The 14,424-nt window shown below is 41.7% G+C and overlaps 1 protein-coding gene across 1 annotated transcript in view; it reads left to right on the top strand.

Annotated features, from left to right (window-relative positions):
* The window catches only part of PSMA1 (proteasome 20S subunit alpha 1), a 138,787-nt gene that overhangs the window by 62,386 nt on the left and 61,977 nt on the right, over nucleotides 1-14,424 (top strand). The gene's annotated exons all lie outside the window — the stretch shown is intronic.

Below are 14,424 nucleotides of genomic sequence, written 5' to 3'. Positions count from 1 at the left end.
AGACTTCATTAGAGGTTGCCAGCCTATGAATTATATGCCCTTAGAACAAATGCAAGGGTGGGCAATGTAGTTCACTTTCGTCAGAATTGGCTGAGAATGACAGCTACCAAGAATATAGTAGACTATTCACCAGCCAATATATGTACACCAGCCAATGGGACCCAACATCAAATCCCTCTTTTCTTATTTGGGAACTTTCTAAAGGTTCTCTCATATGTGTTTCCCTTTGTCCTCTTTCCCTCGATTCATCCCATAACTACATAGCTCCCTGGTGTCAGTATGACACTTTCTATCTGTAGTTCATCTGTCATTCCTATCACTCCTGATGTGTTGCCACTGGTATTAAGGGGAATCCCAACACGATTCCACTTCAGTAGTTTCCATGCTGAAGATGGGAGAATGAACTGAGGGCTCCTAATCTTCTTAAACAACCCCCATTATGCCTCCAAACTGGATAATCTCTCAGTTTCCTACAATTCCCTCTTCTTGTGCCTCTTCCAGACTTACTCCCTTGTGTTCTTCTCTGCCTATGGCTCCAGTCTGACAGGCTTAAGATCTAAAGCCTGGATCCCACTATCACCAAACCAAGTATGTATTTCAGACTTGAAGCCATAATGATCTGATCCTTTCATTTTTCAGCAAATGTTTATTAAGCACTTACTAGGCACTGGAGATTTAGGGATGAGTATGACACAGTTTTATCTTTCTAGAAGCTCTCAAAGTACTGGACTCAGGGGAAGTTAAGATGGGACACAAGGCCAACAGTTCCTATGAATGGAGTGACTTAGAATCACAGCAGAGGCAGATGCCAACTTATTGAAGAGAATAAGGAGGCTTTTTAATGCAGGACAGAAGATGGAGTGGCAGGAAAAGTGGTCTTGAGGTGTAGCAGGAATTATCCAGCAGAGAATAGCATTCCAAGCAGATGGAACAGCATGTTCAAGGCTAGGAAGGCAATAAAGGATAAGACGTGTTTGAGAAATAGCAAGAATTTTAGTATGGCAGGAGCAGACAGTCTTTGAGGGAGAGTGGTGAGAGATGATTCTAAAATAGTAGGTAGAAGCCAGCTTGTGAAATCCTTGTGTGTTGTGTTCTGGAATCTGAAAATCATCCATTATTCATAGACAGCCAATGAGATCTCAAGCGAGAGTGACATGATTACATTTGTATTGCAGACAGATCACATGAGCAACAGTGTCGCTCTCTTGTAGTAATCAGATCTTTCTTTCCAGCCCTGCTCTTTGGATTTGAGGTTCTTCAGATCAACCCAATTTGTGGCCTCCATTATCACTGCAGACAGATTTTTCTCTCCCTTTCCTCAGCACACAATCAGTGTACCTTGAAGTTCCCTCTTACCCATCCATCAGCCTGGGAATGGCATTTCCTCAGAGAAGCAATTCTCAAACACATGTGGGTGTGTAGCTTGTAGGAAGGATATATCATGTTCACTTGGAGGGCATTTTCAAAGTACATGTGCCTTTGCATCACATGCCCCTCTTGCTCTGAAATTCTAATAGGCCAAAGGTTTGAGGGGGGTTTCTAGGGGAACTAGCATTTTGTAAAAGTTTATTCTTTTAAAGAATAGAGATCTAGACATGGAAACTCTAATCAAGACATACTCCTCTCAATTCCTTAGTTGTTATTAAAATACTACAAAATCTGCATTTATATTATAATAGTGACACCTCTTATAGTTGGTCGAAAGTTGGCCCCAAAAAGGATGTGTCCATGTCCTAATACTTGGCCCCTGTTAATGTTACCTTATTTAAAAAAAAAAAAAAAAAAAAAAAGTCTTTGCAGCTGTAATTAAGTTAAGGATCTTGAAATGAGATCATCCAGATGGATTTTAAATCCAATTCCAAGTATCCTTATAACAGACAGAAGAGTAAAAGACAAAGACAAAGAGGAAAGGCCATATGAAGATGAAGGTAGAGATCGCCGTTACGTAGCTAGAAGCCAAAGAATGCCTGGAGACATCAGAAGCTGGACAAGGCAAAGAAGCATTCTCTTCTAGAACCTTCAGAAGGATCATGGCCCTGCCAATACCTTGATTTCAGACTTCTGTCCTCTAGAATAGTAAAAGGATAGATTTATGTTGTTTTAAGTCACGAGGTTTGTAGCAATTTGTTATGGCATCTCTAGAATGTCAACATACCTTCTTTCTAATAGGTTATACCTAATAGTTACTTTTAAGAGAGGAGACAGTTTCCAAAGTGTTGTATAATAGCATGATGTAAATGAATTTAGGCCAGGTAACTTAATCCCTTTGAGCTGGTTTCTTCACCTAATCCCATCCTCACAGAATGTTGAGATGATTCAATGAGATAAAATAAAACTACCCAGCAGACAACTGGCAAAAACCAGGCTCTAAAGGAAGTATCTATTTGAGAATAGGACTCAACACATGTTGCATAGACACTCTGGTGAAACAAGCTCTCCCAGGAGAAGGCCGGGATAATTAACATGCAATGTCTGGGCCTCTATCAGAATCTCTTTTACATGTAACCACTTACACCCATCTGGTATCAGCTCTTGTTTGTCACCAACTAACCACTGCCCTCTCCTGCAACCTTCTCTACTTCCTGTTTACGTAGATAGCTGCTTCCTGACTGACGAAACTGAATGGTTTCAGCCAGACTGCTTTTCCCCTGGACCCATGCCAAGAATACCTTCTTTACTTTGCATTTCTCATTCTGCTTTCTTCTTATAGTAGAAGCCATCATATTAATGAGTTGCAAACTGCTGCCCTGAGCTATTCCCAGCTAATCAGTTAGTCTTCTTCCTAGCTATTGGATTAAATCAGATGAACACAAGTAATAACACGTCAGGTATCATGTCTGTATCAAGAAATTTGTCCATCCTTTCTTGCTCCAGCCCTGCCAAGCTACTGACAATGATGCTTTTTTCATTTAACTGGACAAGTCATAATGCTGACACTCTCAAGCCCAGCCCTGTCCTGTTTATGTGAAGCAATTCTAACCAAGGCCAGCAGGACAACAAACAATAGGGTTAAACTTGACCAGAACTCCAGATTGGGAGACTATTTTTTTTTAATTATACTTTAAGCTCTGGGGTACATGTGCAGAACATGCAAGTTTGTTACAAAGGTATACACTTGCCATGGTGGCTTGCTGCACCCATCAACCCGTGATCTACATTAGGTATTTCTCCTAATGCTATCCCTCCCCTAGCCCCCAACCCCCCAACAGGCCCCGGTGTGTGATGTTCACCTCCCTGTGCCCATGTGTTCTCATTGTTCAACTCCCACTTATGAGCGACAACATGTGGCTGTTTAAATGATCTAATTTGTGGTTCTCAATATGAGTGAATATGCAAATCATGTTAGAGGCTCTTTCAAACAAACAGATAAACAAATATTTGGAACATGAGTTAGGCATGGATTTTTTTGTTAACTCCTAAGTGGGATAATAACTTTTCCCTCAACTCCAGGCTTATCATCCTTAACACAATAGTTAAGGATGTGAACACTGGAGCCTGACTGTCTGGGTTCAAATTCTGGCTTTGCCACCCATAAGCTGTGTGGCCTTGAGCATGTCACCTAACCTCCTTTGCCTCAATTTCCTCATCTGTAAAACAGTTGTAATAATACCTACATTTGCCAGGGAATTGTGAGGAATAAATAAGTTAACTTGTGAAGAGCACTTAGGCTATATAAATGCTATTATTACTATTACTTTTATTGTTGTTTTATAACTTCTCTGGAGAGACAGGAAGTTGGTCAGAGGGTGAGATGCCTGAATTAGTGATTTCAAGATGAGGCAGGTTGAGGTGATGTGAGGGTTCACAGTATGACAGTGGAAGTGGATAGCAGAGGTAGAATGGAGGAAAGATCATCATTGGAAGGAGAAAATTAGTAGTAGTATTAAAGCATGTTCTTTATGAGACTGGAGTACCTGAGTTCAGATCCTGCCTTCACTACTTAATGGCAGCGCAACCATGAGCAGATTACTTAATTGTTTTCTCATCTGTACCACTACAGAACCATGAGCAGATTTCTCCTCTGTAAAATGAAGATAATAATAGTGACCTATCTTATAGGGCTTTCATGGAATCAAATAAGTTAGTAAATAACATACTGATTTCTTAGAACAGTGACTGGCATTTAGCAAGTGTTAGCTCAGGATACAAAAGCAATGTGCAAAATCACAAGCATTCTTATACACCAATAACAGACAAACAGAGAGCCAAATCATGAGTGAACTGCCATTTACAGTTGCTTCAAAGAGAATAAAATACCTAGGAATCCAACTTACAAGGGATGTGAAGGACCTCTTCAAGGAGAACTACAAAACACTGCTCAACGAAATAAAAGAGGACACAAAGAAATGGAAGAACATTCCATGCTCACGGATAGGAAGAATCAATATCATGAAAATGGCCATACTGCGCAAGGTAATTTATAGATTCAATGCCATCCCCATCAAGCTACCAATGACTTTCTTCACAGAATTGGAAAAAACTACTTTAAAGTTCACGTGGAACCAAAACAGAGCCTGCATTGCCAAGACAATCCTAAGCCAAAAGAACAAAGCTGGAGGCATCATGCTATCTGACTTCAAACTATACTACAAGGCTACAGTAAACAAAACAGCATGTCACTGGAACCAAAACAGAGATATAGATCAATGGAACAGAACAGAGCCCTCAGAAATAATACCACACATCTACAACCATCTGATCTTTGACAAACCTGACAAAAACAAGAAATGGGGAAAGGATTCCCTATTTAATACATGGTGCTGGGAAAACTGGCTAGCCATATGTAGAAAGCTAAAACTGAATCCCTTACTTACACCTTATACAAAAATTAATTCAAGATGGATTAAAGACTTAAATGTTAGACCTAAAACCATAAAAACCCTAGAAGAAAACCTAGGCAATACCATTCAGGACATAGGCATGTGCAAGGACTTCATGACTAAAACATCAAAAGCAATGGCAACAAAAGCCAAAATTGACAAATGGGATCTAATTAAACTAAAGAGCTTCTGCACAGCAAAAGAAACTACCATCAGAGAGAACAGGCAACCTACAGAATGGGAGAAAATTTTTACAATCTACCCATCTGACAAAGGGCTAATATCCAGAATCTACAAAGAATTTAAACAAATTTACAAGAAAAAAACAAATATACAAGAAAAAATCAAACAACCCCATCAAAAAGTGGGCAAAGGATATGAACAGACACTTCTCAAAAGAAGACATTTATGCAGGCAACAGACACATGAAAAAATGCTCATCATCACTGGCCATCAGAGAAATACAAATCAAAACCACAATGAGATACCATCTCACACCAGTTAGAATGGTGATCATTAAAAAGTCAGGAAACAACAGGTGCTGGAGAGGAGGTGGAGAAATAGGAGCACTTTTACATTGCTGGTGGGACTGTAAACTAGTTCAACCATTGTGGAAGACAGTGTGGTGATTCCTCAAGGATCTAGAACTAGAAATACCATTTGACCCAGCAATCCCATTACTGGGTATATACCCAAAGGATTATAAATCATGCTGCTATAAAGACACATGCACACGTATGTTTATTGCGGCACTATTCACAATAGCAAAGACTTGGAACCAACCCAAATGTCCAACAATGATAGACTGGATGAAGAAAATGTGGCACATATACACCATGGAATACTATGCAGCCATAAAAAAGGATGAGTTCATGTCCTTTGTAGGGACATGGAGGAAGCTGGAAACCATCATTCTGAGCAAATTATCCCAAGGACAGAAAACCAAACACCGCATGTTCTAACTCGTAGGTGGGAATTGAAGAATGAGAACACATGGACACAGGGTGGGGAACATCACACACTGTGGCCTGAGGTGGGGTGGGGGTAGGGGGGAGGGATAGCATTAGGAGATATACCTAATGTAAATGACGAGTTAATGGATGCAGCACACCAACATGGCACATGTATACATATGTAACAAACCTGCACATTGTGCATATGTACCCTAGAATTTAAAGTATTATAATTAAACTATAATAAATTTTTTTAAAATTTAAAAAAAGAAATTTATTCTGCTGGATACCCTAAATCATCTCCCCCAGGTTCAAAGTTCCACAGATCTCTAGGGCAGGGGTAAAATTCCGCCAGTCTCTTTGCTAAAGCAAAGCAAGAGTTCATCTCCAGTTCCCAACAAGTTTCTCATCTCAATCTGAGATCACCGCAGCCTGGGACTTCATTGTCCATATCACTATCAGCATTTTGGTCAAAGCCCTTCAACAGGTCTCTAGGAAGTGCTAAAGTTTCCAACATTTTCCTTTCTTCTTCTGAGCCCTCCAAACTGTTCCAACCTCTGCCTGTTACCCAGTTCCAAAGTCACTTCTGCATTTTTTAGTATCCTTATAGCAGCACCCCACTATAGTGGTACCAATTTACTGTATAAGTCCATTCTCACATTGCTGCAAAGATAATACCCAAGACTCGGTAATTTATAAAGGAAAGAAGTTTAATTGACTCACAGTTCTGCATGGCTAAGGAGGCCTCAGGAAACTTATAATTATTGTGGAAGGGGAAGCAAACATGTCTTTCTTGACATGGTGGCAGGGGAAAGAAGTGCTGACCAAAGCAGGAAAAGCCCCTTATAAAACCATCAGATCTCATGAAAACTCACAATCAGGAGATGGGGGTAACCACCCCCATCATTCAATTACCTCCCACTGGGTCTCTCCCACAACACATGGGGATTATGGGAACTACCATTCAAGATGAGATTTGGGTGAGAACACAGCCAAACCATATCACCATACGTCTTCTGAAATCTAGGCAGGGGCATCCAAGCCTCAACTCTTGCACTATGTGCACCTGCAGGCTTAACACCGTGTGAAAGCTACCAAGGCTTATGGCTTGCACCTTCTGAAGCAGCAGCCCAAGTACCTGGGTAACTTTGAGCCACATCTGGAGCTGGAGTGGCTGGGATGTAGGGAGCAGTGTGCCCTGGGCCTGACCCACAAAATCATTTTTCCCTCCTAGGCCTCTGGACCTGTGATAAGAGAGGCTGTTGTGAAGGTCTGTAAAATATCTTCAGGGTCTTTTTCCCATTGTCTTGGCTACTAGTACTTCCCTCTCTTTGAGATATGCAAATTTCTGCAGCCTCCTTTAATTCCTTCCCTGAAAATGGGTGTTTCTTTTCTACCACATGGCCAGGCTGTGAATTTTCCAAACTTTTATACTCTGCTTCTCTTTTAAATATAAGTTCCAGTTTCAGGTTATTTCTTTGTTCATGCATATGAACATAGAATTTTAGAGGCAGCCAGGGCAATTCTTGAATGTTTTGCTGCTTAGAAATTTCTTCTGCCCGATACTCTAAATCATATATCTCAAATTCAAAGTTCCACAGATGTCTAGAGCAGGGGCACACTACCGCCAGGCTCTTTGCTAATGCATAACAAAAGTGACCTTTGCTCCAGTTCCCAATAAGTTCCAGACTTTGCTGAAGTTGCTTATCAGCTTAAGGAGATTTTGGGCTGACACGATGGGGTTTTCTGGATATACAATCATGTCATCTGCAAACAAGTACAATTTGACTTCCTCTTTTCCTAATTGAATACCCTTTATTTCTTTCTCCTGCCTGATTGCCCTGGCCAGAACTTCCAATAGTATATTGAATAGGAGTGGTGAGAGAGGCCATCCCTGTCTTGTGCCAGTTTTCAAAGGGAATGCTTCCAGTTTTTGCCCATTCAATATGATATTGGCTGTGGGTTTGTCATAAATAGCTCTTATTATTTTGAGATATGTCCCATCAATACCTAATTTATTGAGAGTTTTTAGCATGAAGGCCTGTTGAATTTTGTCAAAGGCCTTTTCTGCATCTATTGAGATAATCATGTGGTTTTTGTCTTTGGTTCTGTTTATATGCTGGATTATGTTTATTGATTTGCATACATTGAGCCAGCCTTACATCCCAGGGACGAAGCCCCCTTGATCATGGTGGATAAGCTTTTTGATGTGCTGCTGGATTCGGTTTGCCAGTATTTTATTGAGGATATTTGCATCGATGTCCATCAGGGATATTGATCTAAAATTCTCTTTTTTTGTTGTGTCTCTGCCAGGCTTGGTATCAGGATGATGCTGGCCTCATAAAATGAGTTAGGGAGGATTCTCTTTTTCTGTTGATTGGAATAGTTTCAGAAGGAATGGTACCAGCTCCTCCTTGTACCTCTGGTAGAATTCGGCTGTGAATCCATCTGGTCCTGGACTTTTTTTGGTTGGTAGGCTATTAATTATTGCCTCAGTTTCGGCTCCTGTTATTGGTCTATTCAGAGATTCAACTTCTTCCTGGTTTAGTCTTCAGAGGGTGTATGTGTCCAGGATTTTATCCATTTCTTCTAGATTTTCTAGTTTATTTGCGTAGAGGTGTTTATAGTATTCTCTGATGGTAGTTTGTATTTCCATGGGATTGGTGGTAATATCCCCTTTATCATTTTTTATTGTGTCTGTTTGATTCTTCTCTCTTTTCTTCTTTATTAGTCTTGCTATCAGTCTATCAGTTTTGTTGATCTTTTCAAAAAACCAGCTCCTGGATTCATTGATTTTTTGAAGGGTTTTTTGTGTCTCTATCTCCTTCAGTTCTGCTCTGATCTTAGTTATTTCTTGCCTTCTGCTAGCTTTTGAATGTGTTTGCTCTTGCTTCTCTAGTTCTTTTAATTGTGATGTTAGGGTGTCAATTTTAGATCTTTCTTGCTTTCTCTTGCAGGCATTTAGTGCTATATATTTCCCTCTACACACTGCTTTAAATGTGTCCCAGAGTTTCTGGTATGTTGTGTCTCTGTTCTCACTGTTTTCAAAGAACATCTTTATTTCTGCCTTCATTTCGTTATGTACTCAGTAGTCGTTCAGGAGCAGGTTGTTCAGTTTCCATGTAGTTGAGCAGTTTTCAGTGAATTTCTTAATCCTGAGTTCTTGTTTGATTGCACTGTGGTCTGAGAGACAGTTTCTTAAAATTTCTGTTTTTTTACATTTGCTGAGGAGTGCTTTACTTCCAAATATGTGGTCAATTTTGAAATAAGTGCGATGTGGTGCCGAGAAGAATATATCTTCTGTTAATTTGGTGTGGAGAGTTCTGTAGATGTCTATTAGGTCCACTTGCTGTGGAGCTGAGTTCAATTCCTGGATATCCTTGTTAACTTTCTGTTTCGTTGATCTGTCTAATATTGACAGTGGGGTGTTAAATTCTCCCATTATTATTGTATGGGAGTCTAAGTCTCTTTGTAGGTCTCTAAGGACTTGCTTTCTGAATCTGGGTGCTCCTGTATTGGGTGCATATATATTTAGGATAGTTAGCTCTTCTTGTTGAATTAATCCCTTTACCATTATGTAATGGCCTTCTTTGTCTCTTTTGATCTTTGTTGGCTTAAAGTCTATTTTATCAGAGACTAGACTTGCAACCCTGCTTTTTTTTTGTTTTCCATTTGCTTGGTAGATCTTCCTCCATCCCTTTATTTTGAGCCTATGTGTGTCTCTGCATGTGAGATAGGTCTCCTGAATACAGCACACTGATGGGTCTTGACTCTTTATCCAATTTGCCAGTATGTGTCTTTTAATTGGAGCATTTAACTCATTTACATTTAAGGTTAATATTGTTATGTGTGAATTTGATCCTGTCATTATGATGTTAGCTGGTTATTTTGCTCGTTAGTTGATGCAGTTTCTTCCTAGCATCAATGGTCTTCACAGTTTGGCATGTTTTTGCAGTGGCTGGTACTGATTGTTCCTTTCCATGTTTAATGCTTCCTTCAGGAACTCTTATAAGGCAGGCCTGGTGACGACAAAATCTCTCTGCATTGTCTGTAAAGGATTTTACTTCTCCTTCACTTGTGAAGCTTAGTTTGGCTGGATATGAAATTCTGGGTTGAAAATTCTTTTGTTTAAGAATGTTGAGGCCTGGCACGATGGCTCATGCCTGTAATCCCAGCACTTTGGGAGGCCAAGGCGGGCAGATCACGGGGTCAGGAGATCAAGACCATCCTGGCTAACATGGTGAAACGCCATCTCTACTAAAAAATACAAAAAATTAGCCGGGCGTGGTGGTGGGTTCCTGTAGTCCCAGCTACTTGGAAGGCTGAGGCAGGAGAATGGCGAGAACCTGGGAGGTGGAGCTTGCCATGATCCGCGATCTCGCCAGTACACTCCTGCCTGGGTGAGAGAGCGAGACTCCATCTCAAAACAAAACAAAACAAAAAAGAATGTTGACTATTGGCCCCCACTCTCTTCTGGCTTGTACAGTTTCTTCTGAGAGATCTGCTGTTGGAGTATGATGGGCTTCCCTTTGTGGGTAACCCGACCTTTCTCTCTTGCTGCCCTTAACATTTTTTCCTTCATTTCAACTTTGGTGACTCTGATAATTATGTGTCTTGGAGTTGCTCTTCTCAAGGAGTATCTTTGTGGTGGTCTCTGTATTTCCTGAATTTGAATGTTGGCCTGCCTTGCTAGGTTGGGGAAGTTCTCCTGGATAATATTCTGAAGAGTGTTTTCCAACTTGGTTCCATTCTCCCCGTCATTTTCAGGTACACCAATCAGATGTAGATTTGGTCTTTTCACATAGTCCCATATTTCTTGGAGGCTTTGTTTGTTTCTTTTTAGTCTTTTTTCTATAAACTTGTCTTCTTGCTTCATTTCATTTGATCTTCAATCACTCCTTTCCTCCACTTGATCAAATCGGCTACTGAAGCTTCTGCATGCATCATGTTCTCCTGCCATAGCTTTCAGCTCCATCAGGTCATTTACGGTCTTCTCTATGCTGTTTATTCTAGTTGGCCATTTGTCTAATTTTTTTCAAGGTTTTTAGCTTCTTTGCAATGGGTTTGAACATCCTCCTTTAGCTTGGAGAAGGTTGTTATTACTGATCGTCTGAAGCTTTCTTCTCTCAACTCGTCTAAGTCATTCTCCATCCAGCTTTGTTCCATTGCTGGTGAGGAGCTGTGTTCCTTTGGAGGAGAAGAGGTGCTCTGATTTTTAGAATTTTCATCTTTTCTGCTCTGGTTTCTCCCCATCTTTGTGGTTTTATCTACCTTTGGTCTTTAATGATGGTGACATACAGATGGGGTTTTGGTACGGATGTCCTTTCTGTTTGTTAGTTTTCCTTCTAACAGTCAGGACCCTCAGCTGCAGGTCTGTTGGAGTTTGCTGGAGGTCCACTCCAAATCCTCTTTGTCTGGGTATCACCAGTGGAGGCGGCAGAACAGCAAATATTGCAGAACAGCAAATGTTGCTGTCTGATCCTTCCTCTGGAAGCTTTGTCTCAGAGGGCTACCTGCCTGTATGAGGTGTCAGTTGGCCCCTACTGGGAGTTGTCTCCAAGTTAGGCTACTTGGGGGTCAGGGACCCACTTGAGGAGGCAGTCTGTCTGTTCTCAGATCTCAAACTCCATGCTGGGAGAACCACTACTCTCTTCAAAGCTGTCAGACAGGGATGTTTAAGTCTGCAGAAGTTTCTGCTGCCTTTTGTTCAGCTATGCCCCGCCTCCAGAGATGGAGTCTACAGAGGCTGGCAGGCCTTCTTGAGCTGTGGTGGGCTCCACCCAGTTCAAGCTTCCTGGCTGCTTTGTTTGCCTACTCAAGCCTCAGCAATGGCAGACGCACCTCCTCCAGCCTTGCTGCCGCCTTGCCGTTTGATCTCAGACTGCTGTGCTAGCAGTGAGTGAGGCTCCGTGGGTGTGGGACCCCCTGAGCCAGGCGTGGGATATAATCTCTGGTGTGCCATTTGCTAAGACTGATGGAAAAGTGCAGTGTTATGGTGGGAGTGCCCCGATTTTCCAGGTACCGTCTGTCATGGCTTCCCTTGGCTAGGAAAGGGAATTCCCCAATCCCTTGCACTTCCCAGGTGAGGTAATGCCCCACCCTGCTTCACCTCATGCTCTGTGGGCTGCACTCACTGTCCGACAAGCCCCAGTGGATGAACCTGGTACCTCAGTTGGAAATACGGAAATCACCCGTCTTCTGCGTCGCTCATGCTGGGAGCTGCAGACTGGAGCTGTTCCTATTTGGCCATCTTTGAACCTCCCCCCAGCAGAAGAAATTTCTAAGCAGCAAAGCATTCAATAGGAAGCAGAGCATAAAATTTCAGAAAATTTGCAGCCTGATGACAATGTGGTAGAAAAGAAAAACCAATTTTCTGGGAAGAAACTCAATCTGGCTGCAGAAATTTGCACAAGTAACAAGAAGCCAAATGTTAATCGCCCAGATAATGGGGAAAATGTCTCCAGGGCATGTCAGAGACCTTTGCAGCAGCCCCTCTCATCACAGGCCTGGAGTCCTAGGAGGGAAAAATGGTGTCATGGGCCAGGCCTAGGGCCCCCCTACTCTGTGCAGCCTCACAACATGGTGCCCTGTGTCTCAGCTGCTTCAGCTCCAGTTGTGGCACACAGGTGAGATTCAGAGATGAACAAGAAAGATGTCCCCGCTACAGTGAATCTTGCAGAAGCAAAGTCTTATACAAAGGACTCCAGAAAGCCTTTCCAAAGCAGAGTCAGCCAAGACACTAAGAGCTATCACTAGCCAAGACACTAAGAGCTCCCTAAGAGGATATAGGCTTTGAAACAGACAAATAAATTTGCTTAAACTCTAAAGTTCTTTAAGCCTGGCAACTCAGATCCTCCAGGAGTATGCTTGATTTTGTAAGGACACTTTTGCAAGGAAGATAAAGATTTCATCTTAGATGCCAACTCTGAGTGACTGGTAGTTGTGGTTTAGAGTCCTGAGTTAAGGACTGTGAAATTCCATCTGAGTTCAGCAGGAAAAGAAGCTATGATAGATTAGCAATGTCAGCCACATGTATTTAAGGGATGAATGAGGGCAAATGTGGCACACATTACTATCCCAGCCCTAATGTAGCCTATCTTATATTTTTCACAGTTGTTTCACATACCTGTTGATTTTCCAACTGGGCAACAAGCTCCAGGGAAGGCAGCATTATGCAGTGGAAGGAGCAGTGGAAGCTGAGCAAAGGAGCTTTTCTTTCTCTTCTGAAAGGTAGCATGGTGGGATGGAATGAGCACAAGGTGCCCAGAGTTAGAAAGGTATGGCTTTGGAGTTGGGCACTTCACTCTTCCACAGATTGCCTGATCCTAGACATGTTACAGTCAATTCTCATTCTCTTTTATGGTAGTTAATATTCTATAAAATCTGAAGCATTGACCTAGCATTTGCTATGAGCTGTTGCAGGGGAAATACAAGGTTAGGTTCCTGCAAGCCTCTGGTCACATTTTCATCAACCAATCAATACATAACCTAGTTTTATGTGTGTTTCTGTTTAAAGACACCTTATTTAATATATATTGTTGATTTATTAACACTGAACTCACAGCCTACAGGGCTATAATTCCTACCCGAAGGAAGCTTATCTAACACACGTTTGTTTTCTGTATAAGGCACATCACAGCCTTCTTACTCTCAGGAACACCAGACAGCACTGCAACGCTATTATTAGGAATCATTGTAAAGAGCAAAATCACCAAAAAACACAAAAATGAGAAAAACGTGGCACTAAATAGACTGCAAAAAGATTCTTGTTTACAGTATAAGAGATGAAACAAGAAGGCAAGGCATTGCTTTGTTCAATCTCAGCTGGGAATATTCATGTTAGACAACTCACATTTGTCACGGATCTGCGCATATCTGTAAATGACCACAAAAGTTCCATGAGCACTGATTTGGGCTACAAATAAATTTTGGCAAGTAGGCAAATCCATTCATGAATAATGAGGATGAACTGTACTAAGTTTCTGTGAGCCTTAGTAATGATACCTCCCTCACACTACAGAGTAAATGAAAGAAGGCATGTAAAATGCCTTGCATGGTTACAGTTAGTTCTTCTTTATACCAGATATTTACATTTTCACTTCCTGTACCTTATCTGCCATGCTCAAATCTGAGAGATAAGTAGATATCAAGAAACTTCCAGCCAAATGTCTCATCTTTATCCTGGGAGCATAGACCAAAAACTACTCACACTAGCTAAAATAGAAAAGAAGGTGTTTTGAACAGACACAAGAGGCAATCTCTTGAGGCACCAAAGTGCAGGGTTCAGCATAGCTAGGCCACCCTGCGTTGGGACTGAAACAGGAAGATCAGAAGAAGTCCCAACTCTCAGGTGGATGCATCCTCTGCCATCTGTGCCTCTCTGAGCATCTGCTAGCTACACTTTTCTGATTCTCTCAGCAGACAGGTTTCCTCTGCTTTCTCTGGCTTTCTTGCACCCTCATAATTTTGACTCTCATGTGGTTCTGACTTCCATGGCACTGATTCCAGCCTGACTCTACATGTCTGGTGCACACCTGTCGTTTTTGCCTGTCTAGCACCATTCTCCCAGTTCTGGTAACAGAGGAACTGACTGGCTCCAGGATTGGCCTGTGAGCGAGACCCAGCCATTGACTCTCTCCTGAGGGTTTGAT

This window comes from Homo sapiens, chromosome 11 (genome assembly GCF_000001405.40).
Source record: "Homo sapiens chromosome 11, GRCh38.p14 Primary Assembly".
Classification (NCBI taxonomy): domain Eukaryota; kingdom Metazoa; phylum Chordata; class Mammalia; order Primates; family Hominidae; genus Homo; species Homo sapiens.
The sequence above is the reverse complement of the archived record's forward strand: the minus strand, read 5'-3'. Positions and strand labels throughout refer to the sequence as shown.